The sequence below is a fragment of the Homo sapiens genome, chromosome 5 (assembly GCF_000001405.40).
Source record: "Homo sapiens chromosome 5, GRCh38.p14 Primary Assembly".
NCBI lineage: Eukaryota > Metazoa > Chordata > Mammalia > Primates > Hominidae > Homo > Homo sapiens.
Genome location: NC_000005.10, coordinates 66,543,104 through 66,562,231, shown reverse-complemented (window position 1 = coordinate 66,562,231; position 19,128 = coordinate 66,543,104). Strand labels below are relative to the sequence as shown.

Below are 19,128 nucleotides of genomic sequence, written 5' to 3'. Positions count from 1 at the left end.
TTTTGTAATGAAAATACCCAAGGTTAGTAGGTTAATTTGTACAGACTTTCTAAAAAGACATTTTTGGCAATATTGATTTTTTAAAAAATTTATACTTACACTGTAACTCAGAAATTCTGCTTCTAAAAAGGTGCTCTGAGGAAATAAATAAATAAATAACACATGCCAAGATTAGCTATGAGGATGTTCACTGCAGTGTTGTTTATGACAGAAAAAAAATTGGAAATAACCTAAATGAAGAGATGCTCGTTAAATATATAATGGCATGCTGTAATGATCCTTGGATCCACAGGGTTCTTTCGTGGTACCTCAGATACCGTAGTTCATTCTGTGTTGCAACAGAAGAACACCTGAAACTGGGTAATTTATAAAGTAAAGAGGTTTATTTGGCTCAGAGTTCTGCAGGCTGAGAAGTTCAAGGTCATGGCCCTGACTTCTGGCAGGGATTTCATGCTGTGTTATAACATGGCAGAGAAGCTCAAGGGGAAGCAGACACATGTTAAGAGAGAAACATAGGGCCTCCTGGCTTTATAACAACTCATCCATTCCCCTGAACTAAGCCAGTCTCTCTAGAATGTGAACACATTCACTACCAAAAGAGCCCCATTAATGAGGGCTCTGCCTTCGCGACTTACACATCCCCTACTAGGCCCCACCTCCCGACACCATCACACCAGGGATCAAATTTCAACATGAGCTTTGGTGAGGACAAACAACCCATATCCAAACCATAGCAGGGGCAACAACTGGAGGGTGGGGAAGAAAAAAACCAGTGGGAGACAGAGTGGATGATGTTCTGGCTCTCACATTCCTTTTTCAACCTCAAAAGCTCCAATTTTATCTGTCTTATGCAGGGTGGTTCCTTTCAGAAAATTAGTTCTGCTGCCAAAAATAGTTGAAAAAGAACTGAATATTATTGGAATAGAAAGATGTTTACAGTACTTTGTAACAGGAAAAAAGCAGACTGCAAAACAATACTTCAGTTTGATCTCATTTTTGTTTATATATATATACACACAATTTAGAAATACACATATATGAAAATAAGATATAACAATGAACATTTTATTCTTTTGAGTAATAAGAAAAAGATTATATTTAACTTTAAATGTATGTTTTCTGTGTGATTCTCAACATTTTAAGTTCTTCAACCATTATGATGCCTAAGTCAATAGTTATCTACCAATTCTTTACCTTAAGACTATAACTTCTGTATAAGAACCTCAAAACTAAATGTTGTTCTTTCCATTTCAGAGCTAAAGAGACTAGGGGGTGAAGTGATACTGTGAATTATTGCAAAATTGAGAAATGGTCACAGAGACCCCAGTTTTCTCACCTCTTCAACTTATAATGTTTCAAGTATTGCTGCAGAGCCCTGCAGTTTTTCAAAGCTGGATGAATCAGGTGCTAGAAGGAGAAAAACTATGTTTCTGCAGTAAAAACATAAAATTCTTACATATTTTATACTCATTGAAATTATAACAACAAAAGGATGTTAATGAGAAATTAATACAACCAGAGACAGATGGCAAGGTAAGTGGAAACTGGCAGGCGGGCTGAAGTGCAGCAGTTGGGAAGAGCCAAGGGTGCTGGAGAGCAGGAGCTTTATTAGTGAAGCATGTGTAGTGGGGGCACTTCGTTCAAGTATAAATGATCACGTGATGATGGTGGTGGTGATGATGACAATAACACTAACAGTTAAAAAGAGACTGCAGTGCACCAGGCACTGTTCTAAGCACTCTATGTATATTAGTTCTTAATCCTTACAACCCTGCCATGAGGTAGAAACTACTATTAGTCCCATTTTCCTAAAGAGGAAACTGAGGAACAGAAAGAAGACACAATGGGTGTCGATGCCAGGATCTGAAGTGCTTCACTAATCAGCATTCTAAATCTAAAAATACAAATGAGACAATATACCTTTCCTGAAGGTTAAAAATACTTTGTTCTGTTTTTTTTTCTTTTTTCTTTTCTTTCTTTCTTTCTTTTTTTTTTTTTTTTAACACAGAGCAGCGTAATGACAAAAGGCTTCTGATGCCAACAGACCTAAGTTCAAATTCTGGATCTGCTATTTTTCTCTTCTTAGAGACTCAGTTTCCTCATATCTAAAGGGGACTAATGATACCCTCTTAGGCGCTGTGAGTAAGATTTCATGTCTAAAACCTTGGCCCAGAGCATGCTGCAAGTGGGTACACAATAGATGGAAGCTGATACTGTTCGAAAATGAAGCAAGTGAAGGGATTTAATTGAACAATATTTTATTTTATTACTTAAAAAAACAAATGGGTGGACCTAGGAATAAGCATGCTCTTACGGTGATCATATAATCTATTGTCTAAGCCAGGAGACTTTAAAGAGGAGAAGGGTCCTATTAATAATTATCTGAGGCTGGGCACAGTGGCTCATGCCTGTAATCCCAGCACTTTGGGAGGCCAAGGTGGGCGGATCACCTGAGGTCAGGAGTTAGAGACCTGTTAGGCTTGGCCAACGTGGTGAAATCCCGTGTCTACTAAAAATACAAAACTTAGCCAGGTGTGGTGGCAGGTACCTGTAATCCCAGCTACTCGGGAGGCTGAGGCAGGAGAATTGCTTGAACCCAGGAGGCAGAGGTTGCAGTGAGCTGAGATCACGCCACTGCATTCCAGCCTGGGTGACAGAGCGAGACACCATCTCAAAATGATAATAATAACAATAATAATAATAATAATCTGTGATAATAGGTGATATGGTTCGGATCTGTGTCCCCACCAAATCGCCTATCGAATTATAGTCCCCAGTGTTGGAGGACGGGCCTGGTGGGAGGTGGCTGGATCATGGGGGTGGAGTTCTCATGAATGGTTTAGCGCCATCCCCCACTTGGTGCTGTTCTTGTGATAGTGAGTTCTGGTTGTTTAAAAGTGTGTAGCGCCTCCCACACCCCCCTGCACTGCTCCCGTTATGTGAAACACCTCATTCCTGCTTTGCCTTCTGCCATGATTGGAAGCTTCCTGAGGCCTCCCCAGAAGCAGAAGCCACTATGCTTCCTGTACAGCCTGCAGAACCGTGAGCCAATTAAACTTCTTTCCTTTATAAATTATCCAGTCTCAGGTATTTATAGCAGTGCGAGAATGGACTAATATAACAAGTGACTCTGCCTTGGGCAAACTGGGACATGCCACATATTGGTGAGCAACGGCTCCAAGCATATAGCTAGGGGACCTTTTCTGGGCCTTCCTCTGACCCTACTTCAGGATGGCCATTAGGCTAGAGTGGGGGGAACATCAAAGAGGAAACTCCCTAGGCTGTACACTCACAATCTTCAGGAGATTGTGAATTTGTATTGCCTTCTGCTTAGATGAACTCTGTTCTTAAGAATTATCTCATCCAGAATACATGCTCCGGTACCATATGTTGTCATATGCTTCCCCTCCCGCTTTGTGGTCTTTGGAGGGAAAGATGATGCGGGCTAGTGTGCTGAGATGTAAAACTGAAACTGTCATGCAAGTCCTTCTTCAAGAGACTCTGCTGCCCTGGTAGCTATGGTGACATCATTTCTGCAGTGTGCTTCCTGGAAGTTATGGCCTTCTCTCACTGGCTTGCATACAGACCCACTTTACTAGGCTTACATACAGCACCTCTCATTCACATCACAGGATCATGGAATATCAGTGCTCAAGGGATTCTTTAGTTCAAACATTTCATTTCCGGCCCAGAGAGCTCAACTGATAACTTAGCCAAGGCCACACACCAAACTAATTGCAGAAGAACCAGAACCCAGGACTGCACTCATAACATACTGTTCTTTCTATTATTTTACAGCTGCTTCCCTGAAAAATAGCTGTGCCAGCCTAAGGTGTAATATAGTAATTCCAAAAATAACACATTATTTCAGACTTCTCAGGGTTATTAGTGGGAATTGAATATTCTTCTATTGTAGTCTATAGCATCCTTATAATTAGACATATTTTCCAGTTCTTACTGAGAGAAAATTAAAATTAGATTTATGAAGACACTTTAAATTCTCTACATTGGCCAGGTAATAAGGAGGCTAAGTAACACACGTGAAGCAGAGGCCAGATGATAAACATAGCCTCCAAAGTTGGGACATTTATTTCCCAACACCGACATAGATGGGTATACAGAAAAAAAATATGTATCAGATATCGCAAGCTAGGGTGAGGATGCCAAAAAGAAGAAACTGATAACCATAATCTGGTGGTTGGGGTACACAAATGAAAGGCAACCTAAGTTCATCAGTTTCTATTATTTAAATTTTATATTTTCTATCCCTTGTGTCCAACATGGTGGTTTAGGATAACATAGGAGATTGGAAGTGAAAGACAACTGGTTGAATGCTGGTTGATGGATCACTGGGTAACGTCCAAGAACATGTTTTAAAAGAAGTACTCTGCCTTAAGTTACACATTCCTTCCTAAATGGGGGAATCAGAGAAGAGAGATCTCTTAATCAAGGAATGAGAAAATACGAATATCAACAAATAGATTTATTTGCAAGATACTGGGCTCCTAGACATTCTTGGCCTTGCCCTTCTTGACTTTTTCTCTTCTGACAAAAGAAATTCTACACTGATTGCAGTGGCTCATGCCTATTATCTCAGCACTTTGGGAAGCCGAAGTGGGAGACTCATTTGATGCCCAGAGTTCAAGACCAGCCTGAGCAATAGTGAGTCCCTGTCTCTACAAAATATAATGAGAAAAAATTAGCCAGGCATGGTGGTGCATGCCTGTAGTATCAGCTACTCAGAAGGCTGAGATGGAAAGATCACTTGAGCCCAAGTTTGAAGCTGCAGTGAGCTATGATGGCTCCACCGCACTATAGCCTGGGTGACAGAATAAGACCCCCATCTCTAAAAAAATTAAAATAAAATAAATTAGTCAAGGAAAAGGAAAGAAAGAAAATAAAAGAAATAAATGCATTTAGATTGGACAGGAAGAAGTAAAATTATCTCTATGGCAGATGACATGATCTTATATTTAGAAAATCTTGAAGAATCCACCAAAAACCACTATTAGAACAAATAAACACTTTTAGCAAGGTTTCAGGATAGAAGGTCAAAATTCAAAAATCAATTGTATTTCTAGCAGCAAACAACCCAAATATGAAATTAAGAAAATAATTACAGTTGTAATAGCATCAAAACAATAAAATAGGGATAAATTTAACAAAAGTAGCGCAAGACTTATGTGCTGAAAACTATAAAACAATATTTAAATCAACTAAAGAAGACCTAAATAAATGGAAAACTATCTTCATGGGTGTAAAGACATAGTATTATTAAGATGGGAAAACTACTAACACTGACATATAAATTCAATACAATCTCCATAAAAATCCCAACTGGCTTTTTTGCAGAAATTGACAAGCTGATCATGAAATTCACATGGAAATGTAAGGGACCCAAAAGAACCAAGTCAATCTTGAAAGATAAGAATAAAGTTGGAGGACTCACACTTCCCAGTTTTAAAACTTACTACAAACTGCAGTAATAAAGACAGTGTCGTTCTGGCATAAAGAAAGACATATGATGAATGGAATACATGTGAAAGTCTATTTGCAGTTAATTAATTTTTAGTCATGGTGCTAGACAATTCAGTGGGGGAAAAATAGGCTTTCCAACAAATGGTGCTGTGACAACTAAACATTCACATGCAAAAATAAAGTTGGATCCCTACATCACACCATATACAAAAATTAACTCAAAATGGATCATAGAGTTAAATATAAGAACTAAAATTACAAAACTCTTAGAGAAAATATGGGGGTAAATTATTGTGACCTTGGATTAGGCAATGGCTTCTCAGATATGATACCAAAAGCACAAGCAAACAACAACAACAAAAATAGGTAAATGGAAGTTTATCAAAATTACTAACTTGTGCTTTCTTCACCAAGAAAGTGAAACCATGGAATCAGGGAAAATATTTGTAAATAATATACCTGATAGTAGGTTTGTAGTCAGAATATATAACCCAACAATAAAAGGAGAAATGACCCAATTTAAAAATGGTCAAAGGGGCCAGGCTCAGTGGCTCACACCTATAATCCTAGCACTTTGGGAGGCTGAGGCGGGCAGATCACTTGAGGTCAGGAGTTCAAGACCAGCCTGGCCAACATGATGGAACCCCGTCTCTACTAAAAATACAAAAATTAGCTGGGGGTGGTGGCGTGTGCCTGTAAAACTGGCTACTCGGGAGGCTGAAGCAGGAGAATTGCTTGAACCTGGGAGGCAGAGGTTGCAGTGAGCTGAGACTTGAACAGACATACTTCCAAAGAAGATATATATATATATATATATATATATATATATATATATATATATATATATATATATGTAAATGGCCAATAAGCACATGAAAAGATATTTAATATCATTAGCCATTAGCAAAACACAAGTCAAAACCTCAATGGGGAAAGGAGGACATGGGGAATTTATTGTTCATTGATTATAGAGTTTCTGTTTGGGAAACAGAAACAGTTCTGGAAATAGATAGTAGTGATGGTTGCACAACATTGTAAATGCAGTTAATACCATTGAATTGTACCCTATAAATGGTTAAATGATAAACTTTATCTTATGTCTATTTTACCATGATGTCTTAGTCAGTTTGGGCTGCTATAACAAGAATAACATAGACTGAGTGGTTTAAGCAACAGCCACTTATTTCTCATAGTTCTGGAGGCTGGGAGGTCTGAGATCAGGGGCCAGCATGGTGAGGTTCTGGTGAGAGCCCTCTTCCTGATTTCCTCACATGGCAGGTGGAGGAGAAAGACGGGGGAGAGACAAACATTCAGTCCATTGCAAAAAATAAAAATTAAAAACCAGAAAGATATGCTATTTCATAGCCACTACGTGGCTATAATCAAAATAATAAATTATAAATGTCAGCAAGAATGTGGAGAAATTGGAACCCTCATACACTTGTTTGCGGGAATGTAAAATGATGCAGCCACTTAGGAAAATAGTCTGGCAGTTTCTCAAACAGCTAAACGGAGTTGCCATATGACCCAGCAGTTCCACTCCTAGGTCTATATCTAAGACAGCAGAAAGCATATGTTCACACAGAAAACTGTATATGAGTGTTCATTGTCGCATTACTCATAATATCCCAAAAGTGAAAAGAACCCAGATATCCATTAACTGATGAAAGGGTAAACTAAATGTGGTATATCCATACAATGGAATATTATTTGGCAATAAAAAGGAATGCAGTACAGATACATGCTACAACATGAATGGACCTTGAACTCATTATGCTAAGTGAAAGAATCCAATCACAAAAGACCACATGCTGTATGATTTTATTTCTATAAAATGTCCAGAATGGGCAAATTCATAGAGACAAAAAGTAGACTAGTGGTTGCCAGGAGCTGGAGGAGGGGCATAATAAAAGTGATAGCTGATGAATACAGAGCTTGTTACTGGAGTATGAGAATGTTCTGAAATTAGATAGTGGTGATGGTCACACAACTTTGTGAATATATGTAAACTGCATCTCAATAAAGCTATTATTATTTTACATATGATCATCAAATTGAGTGCTGAGTAACCATGACACCTCCAAGGGTTTAACACCCTGTAATTAAAACTCTGCTAACTGCATTGAAAGCAAATATTTTAGGTTTGGAAAAACCACACACCTGACATTTTCATTTCTCTGCCGTAGGCCATTGTTCATCATTGCCAAGTGATTCACAGCATTTTTCTCTGATCTCTCCTTATATCTAAGAAGGAGCCAGTAAAAGAATGGAAACGTGTTAAGTCTCTGTGGGTTCTCTTGTAAAATGTAGAGAAAACAGTGACGATCACACATGTGACTCACTGCTCCACTCATCCTTGGCTTTGACGAGGGCAGAAAACCACATACTTGGGGAAATGAAACCAGGTACAACATAGCTATGGGTAAGCACAATTTGGCCAGAGAGAAGCAGTGCATGCACATACTTAGGATAAAGCATGCACTCTCAGCATTCCCAGAGCCAACTACATAAAACTCCAGGTAAAGGGATCTCCCTACAGGAACACAAACAGTTCTACAGAGATTTAAATTATAAGCAACGTGGTGCTCAGGAAAAGCCTCCACCAAACAGCAAGATTTAACTGTGGTTTGGCATGGGAACAAAAGATAAAACTAAGCAAATCTTGCTGCTAAATGAGCCAACAAGAGTGAATGAAGCCTCTCTGCCACTTTGGTAGAATTTGTGATGTCTTTAAGCAATAAATATTACTTTAGGCATTTTTTTGTTAATAATGTCTTAAAATAAATAGACCCTAAAATGGTTTTAGATGATTGAAGAGAACTACTGGTCGAGTTCAAGGGTTTAAAATACCCTAGCACCTTTTTTTTTTCCTACCTGCAACTTTGGGCAAATTACTTAAGCCCTGTGAGCCTGTTTCTTCATTTATAACATGAGGATAGCAATAGCATTGCCATCATAGGGGTATTGAGAGGATTAAAGGAGGTACAGGAAGGTACAGTGTTCAGTATAGTCCTGGCATAGAGTAAACACTCCAGAAATGAGCCCTCTTGAGTGGCAGTCCTCTTTCACTGGAGCAGGGATGTGATAGTTGGGTGAGTACCTCCTCCCAGGGGCTCTGGCTCTAGGAACCCATCCCCTTCAGGTTCTGGCCTCCTTAGCCAGAATTCCAACTGAATTCTTCTGGCAATGGAAAACAAGGAAGGTTTTGAAGCATGCAAAATATGTGGTCAGATTTCTTTTAGAAAAGGCAAACAGGTAAAAGTTGCAGGATGAGTTAGGGGAAAGAGTCTCCAGAATGTGATTGTAATGACTCAGGAAAGGAATTACTAGGGACAGAACAAAAGCAGTAGAAGTGACCTGGAAACGTAACAACAATAGTGATGTTGTGCACCTTAAGAAACACTAATATTTACTGAGCACTCCTGTGAATCAAGAACTGGGCCAAGTGCTTTTAGGTGTCTTGATTTATTTAATCCTCACAGATCCTCAGAAAACAGATGAAGAGAAGGAGATTTTCAGAGGATAACCTATAACTTGCATGAGGTCAAAAAGTCAGCAGGATTGGAACCCAAAGAGCCTGTTACTGGAGCTGCAGAAAAATGATGACAGACTAGATTTGGTGGTGGAGAGAGACAAAAAGATATGATGGAAAGGGAAGAACTTAAGGTAGATAAGATGCCGGAAGCTGAATTAGGAAATATTTTTTCCCTTTCTTATTTCTTGCAGCAAATAATTTATATTGTTCTCCAGATGTTTCACAGGCAAATATATTGTCTTTCCAACCAGACCATATAAACTACCTGCGTATGGCGTTACTTATGTCTTATTTACTATGCACCATACGTACTCAATCAACAATTACTGGGCATCTACTGCAAGCCAGACCCTGGGCTAGGCACCAGGAACAGAAAGATGAAGAAGACCAAAAGTTTTCTTTGACCTTGGAGATTTACAGGCCAGTGGGAGTGATAAAGGATTTTGATGTGATGTTACAGTGCAACCCTAGTGTTATACATGAGGTGACCTGAGAGCACAGGTGTAAGAGCTTATCTAGATCCAGCTGAGGAGGTCATGAAAGGATTGAATGGCAGAGATGCTTGAGTTATGGATTAACATATGCATTGGCATTCATTAGAGGAATAAACTGTAGAAGGACCTTCCAGCCTGAAGAAACTACATGTGCAGAGGCCAGAATTGTTAGGTGTTTGGGGTAAGAGTGAGCAAGTGAGAGTGAACAAGAGACAAGACAAGATTTCAAAGGAGCAGTCACTTAAGTGGCTGTGTGGTGGGAGATGAATAACAAGTGGGTCAAGCTTGCAGATGAACAAACAGGTAATTCTGAAAGTTACCATTAGTGACCAGCCTGTATTTACTTGACTGGCTAGGAACAACTGATGTGCGGGATGATTTAACCTGAGTGTTGAGAATAGAAGCAAGATGTGGCTGCCTATGGTGGACTGCAATTCTTTATATGCCTACCCTTTTCCATGTGACTTTGCTGCCTTCTCATCAAGAGGTGGAGTAAATTTCATCACTTGGATCTGTAATCACATAACTAGCTTTAGCAAGTGGGTCATTAGGAAATGTGTTGCAAGCAGAAGCTTGAAAACTGCTTGCACATTGGCATTTTCTGTCTCCTGCTGCTCTCTGGGAATTCTTCCACCACTGTGTGAATAAGCCTGGGCTAGCCTTTTGGAGGATGAAAGACCTATCAGATAGAAGCTGTGTCCCAGCCATTCCTAAATAATCCAGACGTGTATAAGTGATGCCAATGCAAATCACCTGGACTCAGCTAAGCTAGTCTAGATGGGAAGTGCCCACAAACCTCACAGAATACTTAGAAAGTATACATTTTATTCCCTTAGCCGCACTGAGTTTAGGCTCAGTGTAGGAACAGCAAAGAGGCCTCAGGTTCTAACTGTGGGGAGGACCTAGTACTGTTCTTCTCTCCAATCTTTACTGAGAAATTGTGGAGAGATACAGAGGGACTGATTTTTCCACCTCAAGGGGAAAAACTCTAGCTTAGTTCATAAGCCTACATTGCACAAAGGAAGCTAACAGTCTCTTACCTATGGTCCCAGTAGAGAAAAGCTTAAACTTCTCTGCTTTGCTTTCTGCATAGTTAGGGTCATCTATTACTTTCATTTGTTAATCTGAAATATTTTGGAAGGGCGTTGAAAGAAGTTTCACAACATATATTTCTCCTGATAGGAACAGTCAGAAACACTGATAAGTATAAAATAAATGTGAAGCATGCATTGTCTATCTGTTCCACTCCCCGCCCCTACACTCCACTCTGATAAAATGAGTAGAGATAAAAATGTTAATTTTTGACAGTTGAAACTTTTTGATAATAAAACCAACTTGAGACTAAAAGTAAGATAATATCTCTTAAATTTGTTTGCTTAAACACAGAGGGTGAAGACAGTGAGGTGTAATCTGCCTATCTATCTCCAGGTTCTAAGACTTCAGTGAAGACCACCAAGAATCCAATTTGCATGACAGCAAACAGTTATCTGGGCCTAAGGCCTCAAAATCCAGACCTGAGACACTAAGATTAAGGCTCTCCAGCAGTGAGAGGAAGCAGAGCTGGAAGTCCTAGTATTTACTCTCTTCGAACATCGCTCTCCAACTCACACATTGGGAAGGCCATTCATATCTCCAAACCTAATTTAACATCACCTCTTCAAAAGACTCCCTGATCATTGCACCCTAACAGAGAGTTCATAATTAGTTTGTGCTTCTAGTTTTGCATTTATCTGCCTGCATTATAAAGTACTGCCTTACATGTCTGCTTTATCCATTAAACTGAGAATGGCTGCAGATCACAAGGGATAGGGGGCCGTGTCTCATTCATCTAGCAAAGAGGTTGTCATACAAGAAATATAAAAAATATATTTGCTGAATTAATAACTTAATGAGACACTCAATAATGGAGAGTTGTGTTTTTGAATTAGAGAGTAAAGCTACTCAAATATCTTTTGGTACAGATGTTAAGAAACTTAAAGTTTCTCAACAGATGAAATAAACAGAAGGCACTCAATAATCTAAATCCTTGCTCTTCAAGATGTGGTCCACAAACCAGCAGCATCAGCATGATCTGGGAGTTTGTTGTAAATGCAAAATCCCAGGTCCTATTACAGACCTACTGAATCAGGATTTTTTATTTTTGTTTTTATTTTTTGAGAAGGAGTTTCGCTCTTGTTGCCCAGGCTAGAGTGCAATGGCGTGATCTTGGCTCACTGAAACCTCTGTCTCCCAGGTTCAAGCAATTCTCCTGCCTCAGCCTCCTAAGTAGTTGGGATTACAGGTGCCTGCCACCATGCCTGGCTAATTTTGTATTTTTAGTAGAGACGAGGTTTCACCATGTTGGTCAGGCTGGTCTCAAACTCCTGACCTCAGGTGATCCGCCCACCTCGGCCTCCCAAAGTGCTGGGATTACAGGATTTTTATTTTAACAAGATTCCCAGGTGATTCACATAAACATTAAAGGTTATGAATCACTGATTTAAGACAGTGGCTTTTGTAGTTGACTGTATATTGAAATCATCTGAAAAGCTTTACAAACTATTAATATCTTGGTCCTGTCTTTAGAGATATTAATTTGAATGGTTTGGGACTTCTTTCTGACCTAGATAGAGTAACAAAGACCTCATTTATCCTTGTATCTTAAATGACAGGACAAAAACAGACACAATATATAAAATAATGATTTTCAGATGAAATTAGTTATCCATTGCTGAGTAAAAAGTTACTCCAAAACTTAGCAGCTTGAAACAACACACAATTTTTTGTCTCACCATTCTTGTGGTTCGGGAATCCAGGCATGTTTTAACTCGGTCCTTGGGCTCAGGGTCTCTCATAAGGCTGCAATCAAGGCATTCAGTGCTGTGGTCTCATCTGAATGCTCAACTGGAAAAGGATCCATTTCTAAGCTCACTCAGGTGGTTGTTGGCAGGATGCAGTTCCTTGTGGGCCACTGGACTGAGGGCCTCTGTTACTCGCTGGCTGTTTGCCAAAGGCTGCCCTCAGTTCCTTGCCATCTGGTCCTCTACAACATGGCAGCTTGCCTCATCAAAAGCCAGCATGAGTCTGCTGCAAGTTAGGTCACAGCCTTCTGTAACCTAATCTTAGAAGTAACATCCTATCACACTTGCTTTATTCTATTTGTTAGTCACTTGATCCAGCCCACTCTCAAGAGGAGGGGGTTATATAAGTACAAATGCCAGTAGGCTGGTGTATTAGTCTGTTCTCACACTGCTCTAAGGAAATAGCCAAGACTGGGTAATTTATAAAGAAGAGAGGTTTAGTTGACTCACAGTTCCTCATGGCTGGGGATGCCTCAGGAAACTTACAATCATGGTGGAAGGTGAAGGGGAGGCAAGCTGGGACTTCTCACATGGCAGCAGGAGAGAATGTGAGTGCACAGGAAAAACTACTATTTATAAAACCATCAGTTCTTGTGAGAATTCACTCATTATCACAAGAACAGCATGCAGGAAACTACCCCCATAATCCAATCACTTCCGTTCCTCGACACATGGAGATTACAGGTCCCTCCCTTGACCTGTGGGGATTACAATTCGAGGTGAGTTTTGGGTGGGGACACAGAGCCAAACCATAACAGCTGGGATCATTAGGGGCCATCTTAGAAGGTGCCTACTACACAGATGTTGAACAGCAGATATCAAGAGACTGTGATTCCTGACAGAGGGTAAACAAATAAGGTCAGCTGAATAATTGTACCAGTTTATTGCTTAGGAGGCAATTTAGACTGCAGTGCAGAGATGAGGAAATCAAAATTCAGTAGTCTCTTTGAGGTAAAAACACAGGAAGAGGAGTTCAGGGAGGCTGAGGCAGTAAAATATTGTTGGTCAAAGTACTAGTTGCCCAGAGAAAAAGCTCACGAGATCTATAGAGGGGTCCTCTTGAGTCTTTGGCTGCATACCCATCTGTGTGTGTCTGAGCAGAAACTATCTGAGGCCAGGAAAATAACCATCAGGATATTTAGGCAGAACAATTCCCAGAGTTTATACAGAGTAAGAGTGGAAAGTACTCATAATCTATAAGTTGTAGGATGGAATCAGATATTCTTTAGCCCCATACTACTAAAGGCCACTCTTTTAATTTAGCAAAACTTAAAATGAAGTCTTTAAAAGATTCGAATGATTCCAAGTAAATTAATTGTACACCAGGACAAAAATCCAACACTATTAAAAAGAATACCACAAAATCCAGCAATCAACAATGTAACCAATAACCAATTAACAGGCTTACAATAAAGTAGGAAAATAAGAACTAAATGCATGAGAAAACTCGATTAACAGAAATAGCCTGAAATGACAGAGATGGTGGAACTAGCAGACAAGAATCTGAAAAAAAAAATGTTAGAACAGCTATTATAAATATCCTGTATATGTTTAAGAAGATAAAGGAAAACATGACCATGATATGGAGAAAAAAATTAATTATATAAAACAGATCCAAATAAACTACTGAAGAAAAAAACTAACATCTTAAATAAAAAATACACTGTGTAGAATTAATAGTAAATAGACACTGAAAAGGAAAGAGCAATAAATTTTAAGGCATAATAATGGAAATAACCAAAATGAAACAGAAAAACAAATGAAAAAATAAGAAGAGGGTAATAGTGACCTGTGGGACACTATCAAGTGGGCCAATATATGTGTAATTAGAGCCTCAGAAAAAAAGAGGGGAGGGAACAAAAAATATTTAAACAATGGTCAAAATTTTCCAAATTTAATAAAACCTATAAACTTTCAGATTCAAGAAGCTCAATTTATTCAAGCAGAATGAAATAAAGAAAATATACTTTGCCACATTATAATTAAATTACTAAAATCAATTGATAAAGAAAAAATTTTTTAAAGTAGCCAGAGAAGAAAGATATGTAAAAAGGGATAATGACAAGAATGGTATCAAGCTTCTTACAAGAAACTATGCAAGTCAGAAGACAATGGTAAGCCATCTTTAACATATGAAAAGAACAAAATGTCAATCTAAAAATCTTTCCTGGGGAGGTGGGGATGGTTAATGAGTATAAAATATAGTTAGAATGAATGAATAAGACCTACTATTTAATACCACAACAGGGTGACCATAGTTGATAACAACTTAATTGTACCTTTAAAAATAATGTAATTGGATTGTTTGTAACACAAAGAACAAATGCTTCAGGGGTTGGATACCCCATTCTCCATGATGTGATTATTACGCATTGCAGGCCTATATTAAAACATCTCATGTACCCCATAAATATACACACTTACTATGTAGCCACAAAAATTAAAAATAAACTAATTTAAATAAAAATAAAAAATCTTTACTCATAAAAATATCTTCAAATTTGAAAGCAAACTAGAGATATTTTAAACAACTAAAATTCATTACCAACAAACATGAATTATAAGCAAAATTAAAGGAAGTTCAATGATACCAGATGGAAATCCATAAAGTACTAAAGAGAGCCAGAAATGGTAAGTATGTGAGTAAATACAAAATATTGCTTTTATCTCTTTTTAAAAATCGTATACAAAAAATATTGACTGTTTAAAGTAAAAAAAAAATATTCTAAACATGTAAAACAAACCATATGAAGAAGTAAAATTTATAGCAACAATTACACATAGTGAAAGTACAGAAGTGCAAGTAACGGGTACAAGGTTCATAAACCATATGTAAAATGGTATAATATTATTTGACATTAGTCTTTGATAAAATAAAAATGTATACTGTAAACATTAGAATAACCATTAAAAATAAATAAAACAAACAGGTATCACTAAGAAGCCAAGAGTGGAAATAAAATGAAATCATTTAAAAAGTATTAATCTAAAAGAAGACTGGAAATAGAAAAGAAATGAGTAGATAGAACAAACATAAAAACAAATAGTCAAATATTATATTTAAGCCCATCCATAGAAATAATTACATTAAATGTAAATAGCCTAAGTACTTTAATTAAAAGGCAGAGATTTTAAGAAAAAGAGCAAGACCCAACTGTGTGATGCCTTTACAAAAAAAAAAAGAAACTAACTTTAAATGTACAGACAAAAATAGGTTAAGAGTAAAAGAATTGAAAAATATTTACCATGCAAACACTAAGTACAAAAAGCCAGAATAGCTGTGTTAGTATCAGACAAAATAGACTTTAGAGCAAGCTTGTCTAAATCATGGCCTGTGGGCTGCATGCAGCCTAGGATGGCTTTGAATGCAGCCCAGCACAAATTTGTAAACTTTCTTAAAACATTATGAGGTTTTTTTTTTTTTTTTGCTATTTCTTTTTTTAGTTCATCAGCTATTTTTACTGTTAGTGTATTTTATATGTGGCCCAAGACAATTCTTCTTCCAGTGTGGTCTAGGGAAGACAAAAGATTGGACAGTCCTACTTTAGAGCAAGAAATAATACATTTCATAGTAAGGAGAGGATAATTCACAGAAAGACATAAAAATCCTAAAGGTATATGCATATAATAATAGACCTTCAAAATACATGAAGTATAATAAAACTGATAGAACCAAAAGAAGAAATAGATAAAACCAAAATTATATTGGAGATTTTAAAATTCTAATCTTAGTCATTGATAAAACAAGTAAACAGGAAATAATAAAGGTATAGAAGACTTAATCAACACCATCAACAAATTAACATAATTGATTCTGTTTGAAACTATGTTTAATAGTCACCCAATAATAGCAGAATACATATTTTTAAAGCACACATTGAAATTCACCAAAATAGATAATATTCTGAGCCAAAACAAGTCTTTAATAAATTGAAGTCACATGACATATGTTTTCTGACCACAAAAGAATGAAACTAGAGATAAATACCAAAAAGATATCTGGGAAATGGTCAAATATTTAGAAATTATACAATACTTCTAAATAACAAATGAAAACAAAGAAGAAACTATAAGAGAAATGAGAAATATTTTTAAATGGAATAAAAATGAAAACAAAAAATATCAAAATGTGTGGGATGCAGTTTAAAATGTCCTTGGAGGGGAATTTATAGCATTAAATGCTTATGTTAGAAAAGATAAAAGATCTCAATTTAATTATCTAAGCTTCTCATCTTAATAAACAAGAAAAATAAGAGCAAATTGTAACTAAAATAAGTAGAATAAAAGAAATAAAAAGACAAGAGCAGAAATAAATGAAACAAAAAAAAAAACTGGAGAAAAATCAGTGAAACAAAAATGTGGTTATTGAAAAGATCAATAAAATTGATAAGGCTCTAGCCAGACTGATTACTTTAAAAATATATAACACAAATTACCAATATCAAGAGTTATCTTATGAATGTTAAAAGGATAAGAAAATATTATGCATAATTTTTACCAATAATTTTGACAACTTAGATTAGTAGGATCAATTCCTTGAAAGATAAAAATAATCAAAGCTCATCCAAAAGGTAGACCATTTGAACAGTCTATCTAGAAAAGTAACTGAATTTGTAATTTGACCTTCTCACAAAGAAAATGTCAAACCTAGACTGTTTCATTGATGAACTCTACCAAACACTTAAGAAAGAAATAATACAAATTCTATTCTAGTATTTCCATTTTAAGAAGTCAGCATTGTCTTAATTTTAATACCAAAACAAAAACATTCAAAGAAAGGAAAGCAACGGAACTAATATCCCTCTTAAATAAAGGTCCAACAATAATAAAATTTTAATAAGATTTTAGCAAATTAAACCCAGCTATATATACAATGTATAATATATCGTGACCATGTGGATATCATTCCAAGAATGTAATGTTAGTTTAACTTTGAAAATCAATTAATGTAACCCACAATATTAGCAAACTAAAAACAAACTGAAAAACCAAACATATGGTGATCTCAATAGATGTCAGGAAAAGATTTGACATAATCCAGCATCTAAGAATAATAACTCACAGCCAGATAGAAATAGAAAGGAACTTCTTTAGCCTGATAAAGGGCATGTACAAAAAACTCTACAGCTAAAATCATGCTTAAAATCATGCAGAAAGGCAAGAAAAGAAATAAAAGGCATATAGATTGGAAAGAAAGCAGTAAAATTACAATGGACAGTAGAAAGAAATAAAATATGTATTAGGAAGGAAGCAGTGAAACAGGCCGTGTAAAAAGTCCTAAAAAATGTAAAAAGATAGCTACTAGTACAAATAAGTGATTTTTACAAGGTTATAGAATACAAAGCTAATATACAAAATCAATTGTAATTCTAAACACTATTAAGGAACATTTGGAAATTAAACTTAAAAAATCCAACAGCATTTATAACAGCACTAACATATGAAAGACTTACATATTAATTTAACAAAATATGTACAATATTTGTACAATGAAAATTGTAAAACATTGCAGCAAGAAACTTAAAAAGATGTAAAATGGAGAAGTATACCATGCTTATGCATTAGAACATTTAATTTTGTAAAGATGTCAATTCTTTCCAAATTGCTGTATAGATTCAATGCAATCCCAAACTCTCAGCAGTCTTTTTGTAGAAATATACAAGCTCTCTCTAAAATTTATAAGGCAATGCAAGTGGCTTGTACCAGACAAAACATTTTGTAAAGAAAGATCAAAGTTGGACACCTTACACTAACTGATTTTAAGACTTACTACAAAGCTACAATAAGAAAATATGATATTTATGTAAGAATAGGCATTTAAATCAATGGATCATAGCAGAGTCCATAAACACACTCACTAATGTACGGTCAACTGGTTTTCAATAAAAGTACCAAAGGAATTCGGTAGTGAAATAATCATGTAGAACAACTGGACATTCATAAGGAAAGAAAAGAAACGTGGCCCTTACCTTACATCACCCATAAAAATTAACTCAAAATGGATCATAGACCTTAATGTAAGAGCTAAAACTATAAAACTTCTCAAAGAAAACATAGGAAAAAATATTTGTGACCTCACATTAGGCAAAGATTTCTTAGGACACAAAAAGCACAAACTATAAAGGAAAAAAAAAAGTAAATTTGACTCCATTAAAATAAAAAAACTGCTCTTTAAAACAGTGATCCCCAAACTTCCTGGCAGCAGGAAACAGTTTCGTGGAAGACAAACAGACTGGGGAGCTGGGGGGATGGTAGAGATGGTTTCGGGATGATTCAAGTGCAGTATATTTATTGGGCACTTCATTTCTATTATTACATTGTAATATATAATGAAATAGTTATACAACTCACCATAATGTAGAATCAGTGGGAGCCCCAAGTTTGATTCCCTGAAACTAGACGGTCCTATCTGGGGACGATGGGACACAGTAACAGATCATCAGGCATTAGATTCTCATAAGGAGCACACAACCTAGATCCCTCGCATGCACAGTTCACAATAGGGTTTGTGCTCCTGTGAGAATCTAATGCCAACACTGATCTGACAGGAGGTGGAGCTCAGGTGGTAATGCAGTAATGCAAGTGATGGGGAGCAGCTATAAACACAGATGAAGCTTCCCTTGTTTGCCTGCTGCTCACCTGCTGTGCAGCCTGGTTCCTGACAGGAACATGGCCTGGGGTTTGGGGACCCCTGCTTTAAAAGACACTGTCCTGCAAATGAAAAGGCAAGACACAGACTTGAAAAACATGTTCGTTAAACATAGATCTGTTAAATGCCTTG

General features: G+C 36.9%; 1 annotated feature.

Moving 5' to 3' along the window:
• Positions 3,304-3,373: an enhancer, noted in NCBI's record as "active region_22619". NCBI's record gives its function as "activates an Ori minimal core promoter by ATAC-STARR-seq in GM12878 lymphoblastoid cells {active_cell/tissue: GM12878}" and the evidence as "EXISTENCE:reporter gene assay evidence [ECO:0000049][PMID:35858748]".